We start from the raw sequence: 13277 nt of genomic DNA, 5'->3' as shown, positions 1-13277 counted from the left end.
ACAAACTGGGCTGCTAAAATGGAATGGATGGCTTTGTGAGATGGAAGTAATGTTAAGGAAAGAACAGATGACCTATGAGGCATGTGATAGAGGGAAGCTCTACAAGTCATGGATCTCCTCAATGTTACCACTTTCAATCCTTATTTCACTTTAGTCAGTCTTCTGTGTGCCTCAGTGATGGGCAGCACTCACCTAGGATCATTATAGCTCAGCAATGGTGAATGCCCTTATCCACTCTTGGATCACAATCCTCTACCATTTTGGGTAGCCATATGATGCCCTCACTTCGTCATCCTTCAGAGGGATCTCTAGCTCTTTGACTGCTTCATTTTCTTCCAATTCTATGGGCTCCCTTCAGGATCCTCTTTATTTCCTGCTCTGAATCCCAGGATCAAATCTCTCACTCTGAGCAAATCTCTCCCTGTCATTACTGTTTAGGAATCCCCACATGATTTATCACTGTACTACCCTTCCACAGTGTCTGCCTTTCCACCAGAGATAGTGAACTCTCTGAAGAGAAGGGCTGAGTGTTTTCATTTGTGGAGTTTCAAAGCTTAGAACAATGCCAGGCACATTAGCAGTCCTGAATATTAACTGAATGAATTTATGTAACACCTGCCTTTGCCAGCCCAGCAAACTCCAAGCCTGAATCAGTGTTACATTTCATTTTTTCTATGGAAAAATAACATTGCTGTGCAGAATGGCACCAATACAAACAAGATCTTGCCACCAGGCCATCAGGGTCTGCTCTCACCCCTTTAACCTGCTCTTGTTTAGCCTTTTTCTTTTTTTTTTTTTTTTTCTGAGACAGGGTCTCACTCTGTCACCCAGGCTGGAGTGCAGTGGTGCAATCATGGCTCACTGCAGCCTTGACCTCCTGGGCTTAAGTTATCCTCCTGCGTCAGTCTTCTGAGCTGCTGCAACTATAGGTATGCGACACCATGCCTGGCTTTTTTTTTTTTTTTTTTTTTTTTGTAGAAACAGGGTCCCACTCTGTTGCCCAGGCTGGTCTGGAACTCCTGGGCTCAAGTGATCCTCCCACCTTGACCTCCCAAAATGCTGGGATTACAGGCATGAGCCACCAAGCCTAGCTTTTGTTCAGCTTTATCTTATAGCCACATGGCTCTTCCAAGCATTTCTCACTCTCCTCACCAACTCTACTCAACCCTGGCCCTTCTAAATCTGAGCGATGACTTTCATATTCTATGTCATAAAAGAAAGCAAGATCATCAGTTAAGATTGAGAGTTCACTACTTCTGCTCAAACATCTCCATACTTATCCTTACTATCTGTATTTATGTTTATTCCAGCTTCGGAGAATGAGCTGTTCTTTGTTCTTGCTCAAGACCAGCCACTCTATCTCCGCATTTGACCCTATGCCTTTTTCCTTTCCCTAGACCTTGCTCTAACAATTATCCTTTCTCCTGGGCTCATTCCTCCTAACTACGATGAAACATTAAATTTTCTTCCAGCTTGAAACATACTTAATCCCAAGTCTTACTTTACTTATTATTTAATATCTTCCTTCCCTCCTTACCTGAACTTCTTGTAAGGGTAGTTTACATTTCCTCCCCCTCCATTCATTTTTCAATCTATCACAGTATCTCTTTTGCTCTATCACATCAAAGAAACCACTCTTACCAGTCACCAATAATCTCCTATACTTAACAAACTCAATTGATATGCTTAGTTCTATATGCAGACCGATCCCTCTACCCAGAATACTTTGCCTGCTACCTGTAACATCCTGTTTACAATTCAGCTTAGGCATCACTCCCTTCAGGAAGCTTTTATCTGATTCCCCAAGTTGAGCTAGATGCCCTCTGCATGCTCTCAGAATATATCTGCTTGTACCTTTTTCTCATTGTACTGTACATTGTGGTCTAGAGACCAATAACAATCATAGCATAACTGTCTGTTGATGACTTTTAGAAGACAGGGCTATGAGTTACTGGGTTGGTCATATATATTAAGTTTGCTGCCTGGTGCAGTGGCTCAAGCCTGTAATCCCAGCACTTTGGGAGGCCAAGGCGGGCAGATTGCTTGAGTCCAGGAGTTCAAAACCAGCCTGGGCAATATGGGCAATATGGTTAAACCCTGTCTCTACTAAAAACTACAAAAATTAGCCGGGTGTGGTGGTGCACTCCTGTAATCCCAGCTACTTGAGAGGCTGAGGTAGGAGAACTGCTTGAGCCCGGGAGGCAGAGGTTGCAGTGAGCTGAAATTGTGCCACTGCACTCCAGCCTGGGCAACAGAGTGAGACCCTGTCTCAAAAAAAAAAAAAAAGAAAAGAAAAGAAAAAGTCCAGGCGCAGTGGCTCATGCCTATAATCCCAGCACTTTGGGAGGCTGAGGCGGGCGGATCACCTGAGGTCAGGAATTTGACACCAGCCTGGCCAACATGGTGAAACTCCATCTCTACTACAAATAAAAAAATTAGCCAGGCATGGTGGTGGGCGCCTGTAATCCCAACTACTCAGGAGGCTGAAGCAGGAGAACTGCTTGAACTTGGGAGGCGGAGACTGCAGTAAGCTGAGATCGCACCACTGCACTCCAGCCTGGGCAACAGAGCGAGACTCCATCTCAAAAAAAGAAACAAAAAAAGTTTGCCAGGGGTAGCTTTGGGTACACCTCTTTTTTATTCTCCAAAGTATCCTAGATTAGGTGATATAATATATGGTCATCCTATCTATTACCCACTTTATAGCCTCAGTGGCTGGTACAGTGTCAAACACAAAGCAGGTGATCAATAAAAGTTTTTGAATAAAATGAGTGCAAATTAGATGGTATCCTTTGCTTCTAATATTCCATTCAAACCTGAATTGCTCTGACTGTAAGCATAAAAACTAATTTGTTAAGTTTTACAATAGTGAATACTTGTGAAGTATTCACCGAAGTGAAAGAAACACAATCTTTATAAAAGTAGTTAACTGACAAAACACAAACTTATATAAGATTGTGTATTTCTCATGCCATAATAACCATAATGCTCATAAGTTTTCTAATCAGAATACCAATAAAAAAAGAAACATCTAAGCAACTCTTACTTTTCCAAAGGGCTAGTCATTTTCTTCAAGTTTCTATGAAATCGTAAGGCTTGAATATCTTGTGTCTCTATTTTGGGAGGTAGAAGTCCTTGAAGACCAAGCATTTGTCGTTCTTGTAAAGTAAATGCCATTCCCTAAAGAGGAGAAATAAAAGGATTAAAAATTATTACTTACTGGGGTAGCAATGACATTGTTCTTCAAAATATAATTTAAATGCAAATTTGAAAAATCAATGACATATTATTTTTGCCCAGGCTTTCAAAACTTTGTAAGACTGATGTCAGTATTGGTCAGGGTGTGGAAAATAGTTATTCTCACAAACCACTGCTGGGAATATAAACTAGTTTAGGCCTTTGGAAGACAGTTTTAAAGTATTCTTAAATTTTTTATATACATATTATTCATCAAGCAATCTGACTTCCAGGGAGCCATTCTAGAGAAACATTCTTAATGGCACACAAAGGCATATACAAAAAGTTTAGTTGTAGCATTGTTTCTAGTTCTCTTGGATATTACAAGCTAACAAAAAGCCCATTAACTACGAAAGAGTTAAGCATCCTATGGTATATTCATACCATGAAATACCATTAAAAGGGGATAGAAGAAATGATGCTTAAGAAAAAATTAATCTATGTCATAAGAAAATCTTTTTCAATTTCTGGCATTTGACTATGGGTTAAATTCTTCGTATCAAAGCAATGTCAATGAAAATGCTGGAGCAAGGCCTTTGGAAAATCTTTTCCTCCATAAAAGCAACAAGAACACTGGACAAATAACCAGAAGCAACTTCTTCAACATTCTGGAAATTTACCAAAGAAATGCAGCAATCAGGGAGCAGTTATTCAGGAAAAATGGCTGGATTTCAGTAAGCAACAAGCTTTGTGAGTTTTAAATCGAAAACTAACACCTCACAATTACTATGAAAATCAGCAGCCTGGAAGCCACCAGGGCAGGAAGAAGGGGCTGGAGATTCTTCTAAGCCCTATTCCAGGAAAATGTCATTATTTGACCTGTCTGGTGGTTCCCTGGAAGACCCCACTTGCAAGGCTATCTTCATTTGACCTAACTTGGCGCTCACCCCATCTGAAAAGCCATTTCCCCAGAAGTGCTTGTTGGAAACAATCAGAGGCAATAATTTAGCATAGCAGCTGCCCAAAGCAGTGGATAACAGTTGAGAAAAACAACAGGGTAACAAAAAGCTCACAAGGAAAAGCTAAAGAATGAGATGACCATGGGGTTGGAGCTTTCAAAAGCCATGAGGTATTACCGGGACTCTAGAAGGTCACATACATGAGCTGTGGACACATCCAGGAAAGACCTGAAAAGATCCTAGCTCACACCTCTGGCTAACCTTAAGGCTCTGTGCAAGAAGGAAGTGAAGGCTTCTGGGTAGTTGTAAACTGCCTGGTTCAGTGCTGGAGGTATGCCGCAACATGCACACAGAGCCACTTGGCAAAAAATGGGAAATTTACTAGTTCCAAGCATTTAAGTCTTTGTCTAATTATCAGCTGACCACAAAACTAACCAATCAGAGACTTCAGTGGGCATGTACAAGAATACAGACTTTATAAAGAATAGTTTGGAGGCCAGGCACGGTGGCTCATGCCTGTAATCCCAGCACTTTGGGAGGCCAAGGTGGGCGGATCACCTGAGGTCAGGAATTCGAGACCAGCTTGGCCAACATGGTGAAACCCTGTCTCTACTAAAAGTACAAAAATTAGCCGGGCGTGGTGGCATGTGCCTGTGGTCCCAGCTACTCGGGGGGCTGAGACAGGAGAATCACTTGAACCTGGGAGGTGGAAGTTGCAGTGAGCCAAGATCATGCCCCTGTACTCCAGCCTAGGCAAAAGAGCAATACTCCATCTCAAAAAAAGAAAAGAATTAGTTTGGAAATATCACTAAACAAGCAAAAGTAGCAGCAATACAACAAACCCTGGGAGGAGTATTTGATTTCCTGAACTGCTACCTTATTTAAAATGTCCAGTTTTCAACAAAAAATCATGAAACTGTCCTTGAGGAAGCCTAAACATTGTACTTACTAGATAAAGACTTTACATTCACATCTTTGAATACATTCAAAGACTTAAAAGACACCATGTCTAAAGAACTAAAGGAAAGTATGAGAATAATGTCCCACCAAATTGAGACTACCAACAAAGAAATTAAATGGAAATTCTGGGAATGAAAGTACTGCAAACCAAAAATAAAATTCTAAGGTCTCCCAACCACCTGAATGGACTTCCTCCTTGGCCAGGGCACTCTTAACATTTAACCTGAAAAGGCTGGTTTAGGTTATGATGGCATGGGGGGTCGGACATGCCTCACTATACTCCTCCAGCATTAACATCAACACAGACCTTAAGCCTGATAAGAAACATTTACAATCTATTCTCTCTGAAGCCTGTTACCTGGAGGCTTCATCTGCATGAAGAAACTCTGGTCTCCAAAGCCTCCTATCATAATCCAGACATTTATTTCTATTGATAATAACTCAACCAACTGCCAATAAGAAAAAATTTAAACCTGCCTATAACCTGGAAGCCCCCACTTCGAGTTGTCCCACCTTTCTGGACTGAACCAATGTGTATCTTAAATGTATTTGATGTCTCATGTGTCTCTAAAATGTACAAAACCAAGCTGTGCCCCCACAACCTGGGGTACATATTTTCAGGATCTCCTGGGGTTGTTTCACAGGCCATGGTCACTCATATTTGGCTCAGAATAAATCTCTTCAAATATTTTACAGAGTTTTAATCTTTTCATCAACAGTACAATAAATGAAAATGAAAAATTTACCAGAGGGGTTCAACAGTAGATTTGAGCAAGTGGGAAAGAATCAGCAAACTTAAAAATAGGTCACCCAAGATTATCTAGTCTAAGATAGAAAGAAAAAAGAATAAAGAAATATGAACTGCCAGGTGCGGTGGCTCACGCCTCTAATCCCAGCACTTTGGGAGCCTTAGGTGGGTGGTTCATGAGGTCAAAAGATCAAGACCATCCTGGCCAACATGGTAAAACCCCATCTCTACTAAAAATACAAAAATTAGCTGAGTGTGGTGGCATGTGCCTGTAGTCCCAGCTACTCGAGAGGCTGAGGCAGGAGAATTGCTTGAACCCGGGAGGCGGAGGCTGCAGTGAGCCAAGATCGTGCCACCGCACTCCAGCCTGGTGACAGAGGGAGATTCCGTCTCAAAAAAAAGATGAACAGAATCTCAGAGATCTGTAAGACACCATCAAGTATGCCAACATATGCATAATGAAGTTTGAGGAGAGGAGAGAAAGAAGCAGAATAATATTTCAAGAGATAATGCCCCAAAACTTCCCAAATATGAGAAACATTAATCCACACATCCAGTAAGCTCAACAACTCCAAGTATTATAAACTCAAAAGAGATCTACACCTAGACAAAGAGAAAAACAAGTTTGCAGATGGAGCATAGTCTAAATGCATTACCATACTTCTCTAAAGAAATAATGTCGGCCAGGCGCAGTGGCTCATGCCTGTAATCCCAGCACTTTGGGAGGCTGAAGCAGGTGGATCACCTGAGGTCAGGAGTTTGAGACCAGCCTGACCAACATGGAGAAACTTCATCTCTACTAAAAATATAAAATTAGGCTGGGCGTGGTGGCTCACGCCTGTAATCCCAACACTGTGGGAGGCGGAGGCAGGCGGATCACAAGGTCAGGAGTTCTGAGACCAGCCTGGCCAATATGGTGAAACCCCATCTCTACTAAAAATACAAAAAAAAAATAAGCCAGGTGTGGTGGTGGGTGCCTGTAGTCCCAGCTACTTGGGAAGCTGAGGCAGGAGAATAGCTTCAACCCAGGAGGTGGAGGTTGCAGTGAGCCGAGATTGCACCACTGCACTCCAGCCTGGCTGACAGAGTGAGACTCTGTCCCAGAAAAAAAAAAAAAAACAGAAGAAAGAAAACATAATCCAATTATATGCTGTCTGTAAGGGACACAAATAAGTGGAAAGTAAAAGGATGGAAAAAGATATACCACACAAATTGTAACCAAAAGAGAGCTAGAGTGGCTATACTAACAATAGACAAAACAGACTTTAAAATGAATGCTGCTACTACAGAGGACATTTTACAATGATGAAAGGGTGAATCTATTATGAAGATATAACTATTATAAATATAGACATACCTAACAACAGAGGTCCAGAATACATGAAGCAGAGCTAACAGAATTGAAGAAAGACAATTCAACAAGTTGGAGACTTTAATACCCACTTTCAATAATGGAGGAGACGCTAGACAATAATAAACATGTGTCTCATGTTTCTCCTTGTATGATTTTATTGAAGGCTGGGAAATACAAAGAAGGTAAAACCAAAACTGTCACTCTTGCGTCTTTTTTTCCAACTCTAGCAAAAGGGTAAAGGAAAAGGCTAAAACGTATGTTTAAATGAACTATGCAGTTCATTTAGAAGTGCTTTGGGCCAGGCACAGTGGTTCATGCCTGTAATCCAAGCATTTTGGGATGCCAGCACGGATAGATTGCTTGAGCCCAGGAGTTTGAGACCAGCTAGGGCAGCATGGTGAAACCTCATCTCTACAAAAATACAAAAATTAGCCAGGTGTGGTGGCACATGCCTGTAGTACCAGGTACTCAGAGGCTGAGGTGGGAGGATCTCCTAAGCCTGGAAGGTCGAGGCTGCAGGGAGCCATGACTGTGCCACTATACTTCTGCCTGGGTGACAAAGTAAGATCCTGTCTCAAAAAAAAAAGTACGCTTTGCCTATCCTTATTGCCAAAGATAAATGGAGTTGACTACACAAGGCTGCACTGCCTATTTCCTATTTAGATTTAAGGGACACTCAAAAGTGATTTATTTATAATGCAGAGTAAAAAATAAAATGATTAAATAATTTTATGTATAGATATTTATGTTAACAGTTGATTAAGTTCTTAAATTTGCTAGGCTGGTGTTAATAAGTGAAGCAAGCCTGTGATGATGACATTAGTTTAAAATGAATGGCCTGGTTAGTTTAGTATTAAGCAGAAATGATCATCCTCTTATCTACTCTTCTCCTACTTTCTCCATCTCCCTTTGCCACTTTTCCCAAGTCTCCCTTTTTCTCATCTATGCAACAGCAATTCCCTCCCTCCCAATTTACATAGCAGAGGTGTACTTCCTCCAGCTGATCCTGAAAGACCCTGAACTATTTTACTTTAGGCACATGCAGTTTCTCCACGAGTCAATATTGACACAAATCTCTTAAACAGACACTTGAACATTCAGGTAAACATGCTAGGGGGCCAGTAAAGGTGCAAAGCTGGGAGTCTCATCAGCCACTGGAATTCCAAATCCAAAGGCTACTACACTATTATGCACCCATATATTTATTATACAGCTTATCAAACATTTTAGAGATATATTTATAGTATACTTTTCCCAGTGGTAAAATTGCATATAAAAGTATATGTTATAATCTTAAAAGTAAGTATACTTTTAAGAGAATCATGGCCAAATAAAAATAGATGATAGAGGCCAGGCACAGTGGCTCACGCCTGTAATCCCAGCACTTTGGGAGGCTGAGGCGAGTGGATCACCTGAGGTCAGGAGTTCGAGATCAGCCTGGACAACACGCTGAAACCCCGTCTCTACCAAAAATACAAAATTAGCCAGGCGTGGTGGCACATGCCTGTAATCCCAGCTACTTGGGATGCTGAGGCAGGAGAATCGCTTGAACCTGGGAGCGGAGGATGTGGTGAGCCAAAATCGCACTATTGCACTCCAGCCTGGGCAACAAGAGTAAATCTCTGTCTCACCAAAAAAGGTGATAGAATAATAGCAATGTGATTTTTAAATCTTTTATTAGTCATATTATTTGTGTAAATAACCAGAAGAAAATTCTAAATTTATTAAAGAACTAGCCGGGAGAAGTTAAAATATAAACAAATAAATTAACAAAACCCTCAGAGAACTAATAACCAGAAAACCAGAGTTCCAGATACAAAGCTTGAGCATGTCCTTAAATCTTAGGGATGGAATCTACAAAATAAAGGAGTTATTGATTCTCTTCTTTAACACTCCTTCTCGAATTAAGTTAATGGTTTGCATAGGTATTTACTATGTACTTAGCTCTTTTAGTTCTGGCAATCTATGGTTCATTATTCTAAATAGAGTCCATTAGGATATTTGAATTTGGCTGAAATAAATTAAGAATCTGTAGTAAAATCTCTTCACAATCTTACATCTTGAAAAGAATACTTGGTTTAAAAGAGATGTTTAGTAGTATTACGGGAGGAACTAGAAAAAGAAAAAAACGTAGATAGCAGGAGTTACTTGAGAATTACTAGGTTATATCAATAGTGTTCAGGTGTTTTTTTAAAAAAATTTCAGAAGGACTCCTATACCTTTAGCCCACTGGGTCATCAATAAAAATGTTGGCATCTCTCTTGCTAAGGCAGCCAACACAGAGGCAGGAAGAACAAAAGTGAAAAACAAAATTGAGGGTCGGAGGCTATGTACATAGTTTAGAGTTGGCTCACCTTGTAATCAAACAATTGTACACTTTTACTGTTGTAATCATAATAGACCTCAGCCTGAATCCTTCCCAAATTTCTTGTTTGAGCACTCTACCCTATGGAAGCATTATTACAGTGTAAAAGAAAGTATCACTTATATCTACCTCTAAAAGCTTTAAATCCACACTAAAAATGAATAGCCAATTCATTTGTTATATATTTTCTCATCTCTCTGATTCAACCAAATATTTATTTTCTGGTACTCATTTCATACTTTAAAGCACATTTTATCTGTATCTTTAAGCCTTGTACAATCTAATATAAGACATATCCTGAGAGTAACAGAAATAATCTAAGACTAAAACAACTCTTTAATACAAATCAGACTCTTTAATACTGATTTACGTTTGTAATGAGAAATGTAAGATAGAAGGCAAACGATTCAGGAGATAGAATCCATTTACACACATTTATAAGCAGGAGATAAAATGCATTCCCTTAACCTCAATACGGATAGGCGCTATGTAGCCAGTGCCTCACTAGCACTCAAATGCTTGTTTAGACTTCTGAAAATGTGTTAATTGAGATGAAATTGCACTAAAAGGGCAAATTATAACTAAGTGGCAAGCTCTGTTCATCACAAATCCACAATTATTCACATCACATGTTCTATGGCTTATGTTGTTTTGGTACAGAAATTAGGTGTTAATACATAAATTTGAAATAAAATATACTCATTGTATTAGCCCATTCTCATGCTGCTATGACGAAATACCAAGACTGAGTAATTTATAAGAAAAGAGGTTTAACTGACTCACAGTTCCACATGGCTGGGGAGACCTCAGGAAACTTACAATTATGGTAGAAGGCCCCTCTACCCAGGGTGGCAGGAGAGAGAATGAGTGCTGAGCGAAGGGGGAAGTCCCTTATAAAGCCACCAGATCTTGTGAGAACTCACTCACTATCACAAGAACAGCATGGGGGAAACCACCCCCACGATTCAGTTACCTCCACCTGGTCCTACCTTTGACACGTGGTAATTATTAAAATTCAAGATGAGATTTGGGTGGTGATGCAGAGCCAAATCATATCACTCAACTGAAAACTTTTTAATGTAATTTAAAATTGTTCTTGGCTGGGCGTAGTGGCTCACGCCTGTAATCCCAGCACTTTGGGAGGCTGAGGTGGGCAGATCACGAGGTCAGCAGATCGCGACCACAGTGAAACACCATCTCTACTAAAAATACAAAAAATTAGCTGAGCATGGTGGCAGGCGCCTGTACTCCCAGCTACTAGGGAGGCTGAGGCAGGAGCATGGCATGAACCCAGAAGGCAGAGCTTGCAGTGAGCCGAGATCACGCCACTGCACTCCAGCCTGGGCAACAGAGCGAGACTCCATCTCAATAAATAAATAAATAAATAAATAAATAAATAAATAAATAAAATTATTCTTACTTTTTTCCTTCTTCCTCCCCCTATTCTTATTTAAAAAAAAAAACTGCATCACTCAATTTTTAAGACTTTGTAAGATGAAATGGGCTTTGTAATGCAAGCCATGAGGAGTGGCTGTAAATACAGATGAAGCTTCACTTGCTCAAAAAATGATAAGAAAACACATAAATCAGTACATGGGGAAAAGAGGTGTGAATAGGGGTATTTCCTAACTTGTTTTACAAGAGTAGGTAACAAAACTCCTATCTAATCCAAACTTATTTTCTGGAAACAAAACCTATGTTTAATTATCTGTGAAACTCCGAGCACCAATCATGTCAGATTTTGTTTTCCTATTTGCTCATCTGTTTATGCATTCATCCATCTACCCAGCATGTACTGAGGCTCTGTGTGTGCTAAGTACTGTGGGGTAAGATAATGAGGATACAGACTAAGATATGGTCATTGTCCTCAATGGAGGAATGAGATAATTCCAACTGAGTATGATACATGGTATTGACAGAAGTGAGCACAAGAATGCTCAAAGGACAGGGGAGTAACTCACCCAGTGTGGTGAGGAATTAGGAAAAAGGGTCACTGAAAACTTCCTAGAGCAGTGGTCCCCATCCTCTTTGGCACCAGTGACCAGTTTCATGGAAGACAATTTTTTTTGAGACAGGGGCTCACTCTGCCACCCAAGCTGCAGTGCAGTGGCACGATCTCACTGCAACCTCCACCTCCTGGGCTCAAGTGATCCTCCCACCTCAGCCTCCTGAGTAGCTGAAACTATAGGCATGCACCACAGTGCTTGGCTAATTTTTTTATATTTTTGGTAGAGACGAGTTCAGGCTGGTAGAGACCAGGCCAGGCTGGTCTCAAACTCTTGACCCCAAGCAATCCACCTCAGCCTCCCAAAGTGCTGGGACTACAGGTGTGAGCCACCACAGCCAGCTGAAGACAATTTTTCTTTTCATGTCTTAGTTGTTATTGAAGTCATTGATGATAGTTACATTTTCATGAGTTTTTATCTTGTTGACTCTATTTCAGGGGGTAGGGAATGGTTTCAGGATGAAACTGTGCCACCTCAGATCATCAGGCATTAGATTCTCATAATTAGTGTGCAACCTAGATCCCTTGCATGCGCAGTTCACAATAGGGTTTGCACTCCTCTGACAGGAGGCAGAGCACAGGCGGTAATGCAAGCCATGAGGAGTGGCTGTAAATACAGATGAAGATTCACTTGCTCAACCACTGCTCACCTTCTGCTGTGTGGGAAAGGATGCAGAGCTGAATTTCAGAAAATTATGAGAAAAGTTAGCCAAATGAGCATGGGGAGAAAAGGAGAAATCCAATTTTATACTTGTATAGCCCTTTAAATGTTTCCAAATGCTATTACCTATATTATTTACATGAAGAAAACTAAGGCCTAGAGAAGTTGAAGGGTTTGCCAAAGTTTCATGGCTAGTAAATGGTAAAGCCCAAATTAGCACCTAAACTCCTGCTTATAACCTAGCATAATGGTGTCCCACCTTTTAAAGTGTAAGAAATTTTGGCCAGGTGTGGTGGCTCATGCCTGTAATCCCAACAGTTTAGGAGGCCAAGGCAGGCGGATCACCTGAGCCCAGGAGTTCAAAACCAGCATAGACAACATGGCAAGACCTCATCTCTACAAAAAAATACAAAAAGTAGCCAGGTGTAGTGGCACGTGCCTGTAGTCTCAGCTACTCGGGAAGGTGAGATGGGAAAATCACCTGAGCCCGGGGAGGTCAAGGCTGCAGTAAGCCATGATAGTGTCATTGCACTCCAGCCTGGGCAACAGAGTGAGAACCTGTCTCAAAAAAATAAAATAAAATGAAATAATACTAGGTTTCTACTTGGGATAATAAAAAAGTTCTGGAACTAGATAGTGGTGATGGTTGCACAACACTAAATAAATTTAATGTCACTGAATTGTATACTTTTAAATAGTTAAAATTGTCAATTTTATATTATGCTTCCTTTACCACAATAAAAAAGTTTTATAAACAAAGAGCAGGTATACCTTGAGTATACAGTGATTACAGACATACATTTAAGAAGATTCAGAATTCAATACTGCCTTTAATTACTATTTTATTAATTACAGCAGCAACATATCCTTAAAGATAATATTTACAAAAATGTGAAAAGTTATTAAGTATACAATATTTGAAGCACAAATGAGATTTCTTTACATGGTAAGTTCCTGAGGAGTCTATAACCCATGAATTGGGAATCACTGGTCTATGTTCTTTAAACAAAAATAAACTCTTCCTGATGTTTAAGGGGTTTCCAGAAGT

General features: G+C 40.4%; 1 protein-coding gene across 3 annotated transcripts in view, besides 2 other annotated features; it reads right to left on the bottom strand.

The window, feature by feature from the left end:
* Positions 1-13277, bottom strand: part of ME2 (malic enzyme 2) — a 75140-nt gene that overhangs the window by 43015 nt on the left and 18848 nt on the right. For all 3 annotated transcript variants that reach the window (NR_174094.1, NM_002396.5, NM_001168335.2), the window contains exon 3: positions 3047-3180. Coding sequence is in view for 2 of the 3 variants with exons in the window: in NM_002396.5 (NP_002387.1) it covers positions 3047-3180 (134 nt within the window). In the remaining variant the exon portion in view is untranslated. The remainder of the gene's footprint in view (positions 1-3046; positions 3181-13277) is intronic.
* Positions 10405-10454: a silencer, noted in NCBI's record as "silent region_9459". NCBI's record gives its function as "represses an Ori minimal core promoter by ATAC-STARR-seq in GM12878 lymphoblastoid cells {active_cell/tissue: GM12878}" and the evidence as "EXISTENCE:reporter gene assay evidence [ECO:0000049][PMID:35858748]".
* Positions 11297-11497: a silencer, noted in NCBI's record as "peak3150 fragment used in MPRA reporter construct". NCBI's record gives its function as "represses an SCP1 promoter by STARR-seq MPRAs in K562 erythroleukemia cells {active_cell/tissue: K562}" and the evidence as "EXISTENCE:reporter gene assay evidence [ECO:0000049][PMID:32103011]".

This window comes from Homo sapiens, chromosome 18 (genome assembly GCF_000001405.40).
Source record: "Homo sapiens chromosome 18, GRCh38.p14 Primary Assembly".
In the NCBI taxonomy this organism is placed as follows: Eukaryota; Metazoa; Chordata; class Mammalia; order Primates; family Hominidae; genus Homo; species Homo sapiens.
The sequence above is the reverse complement of the archived record's forward strand: the minus strand, read 5'-3'. Positions and strand labels throughout refer to the sequence as shown.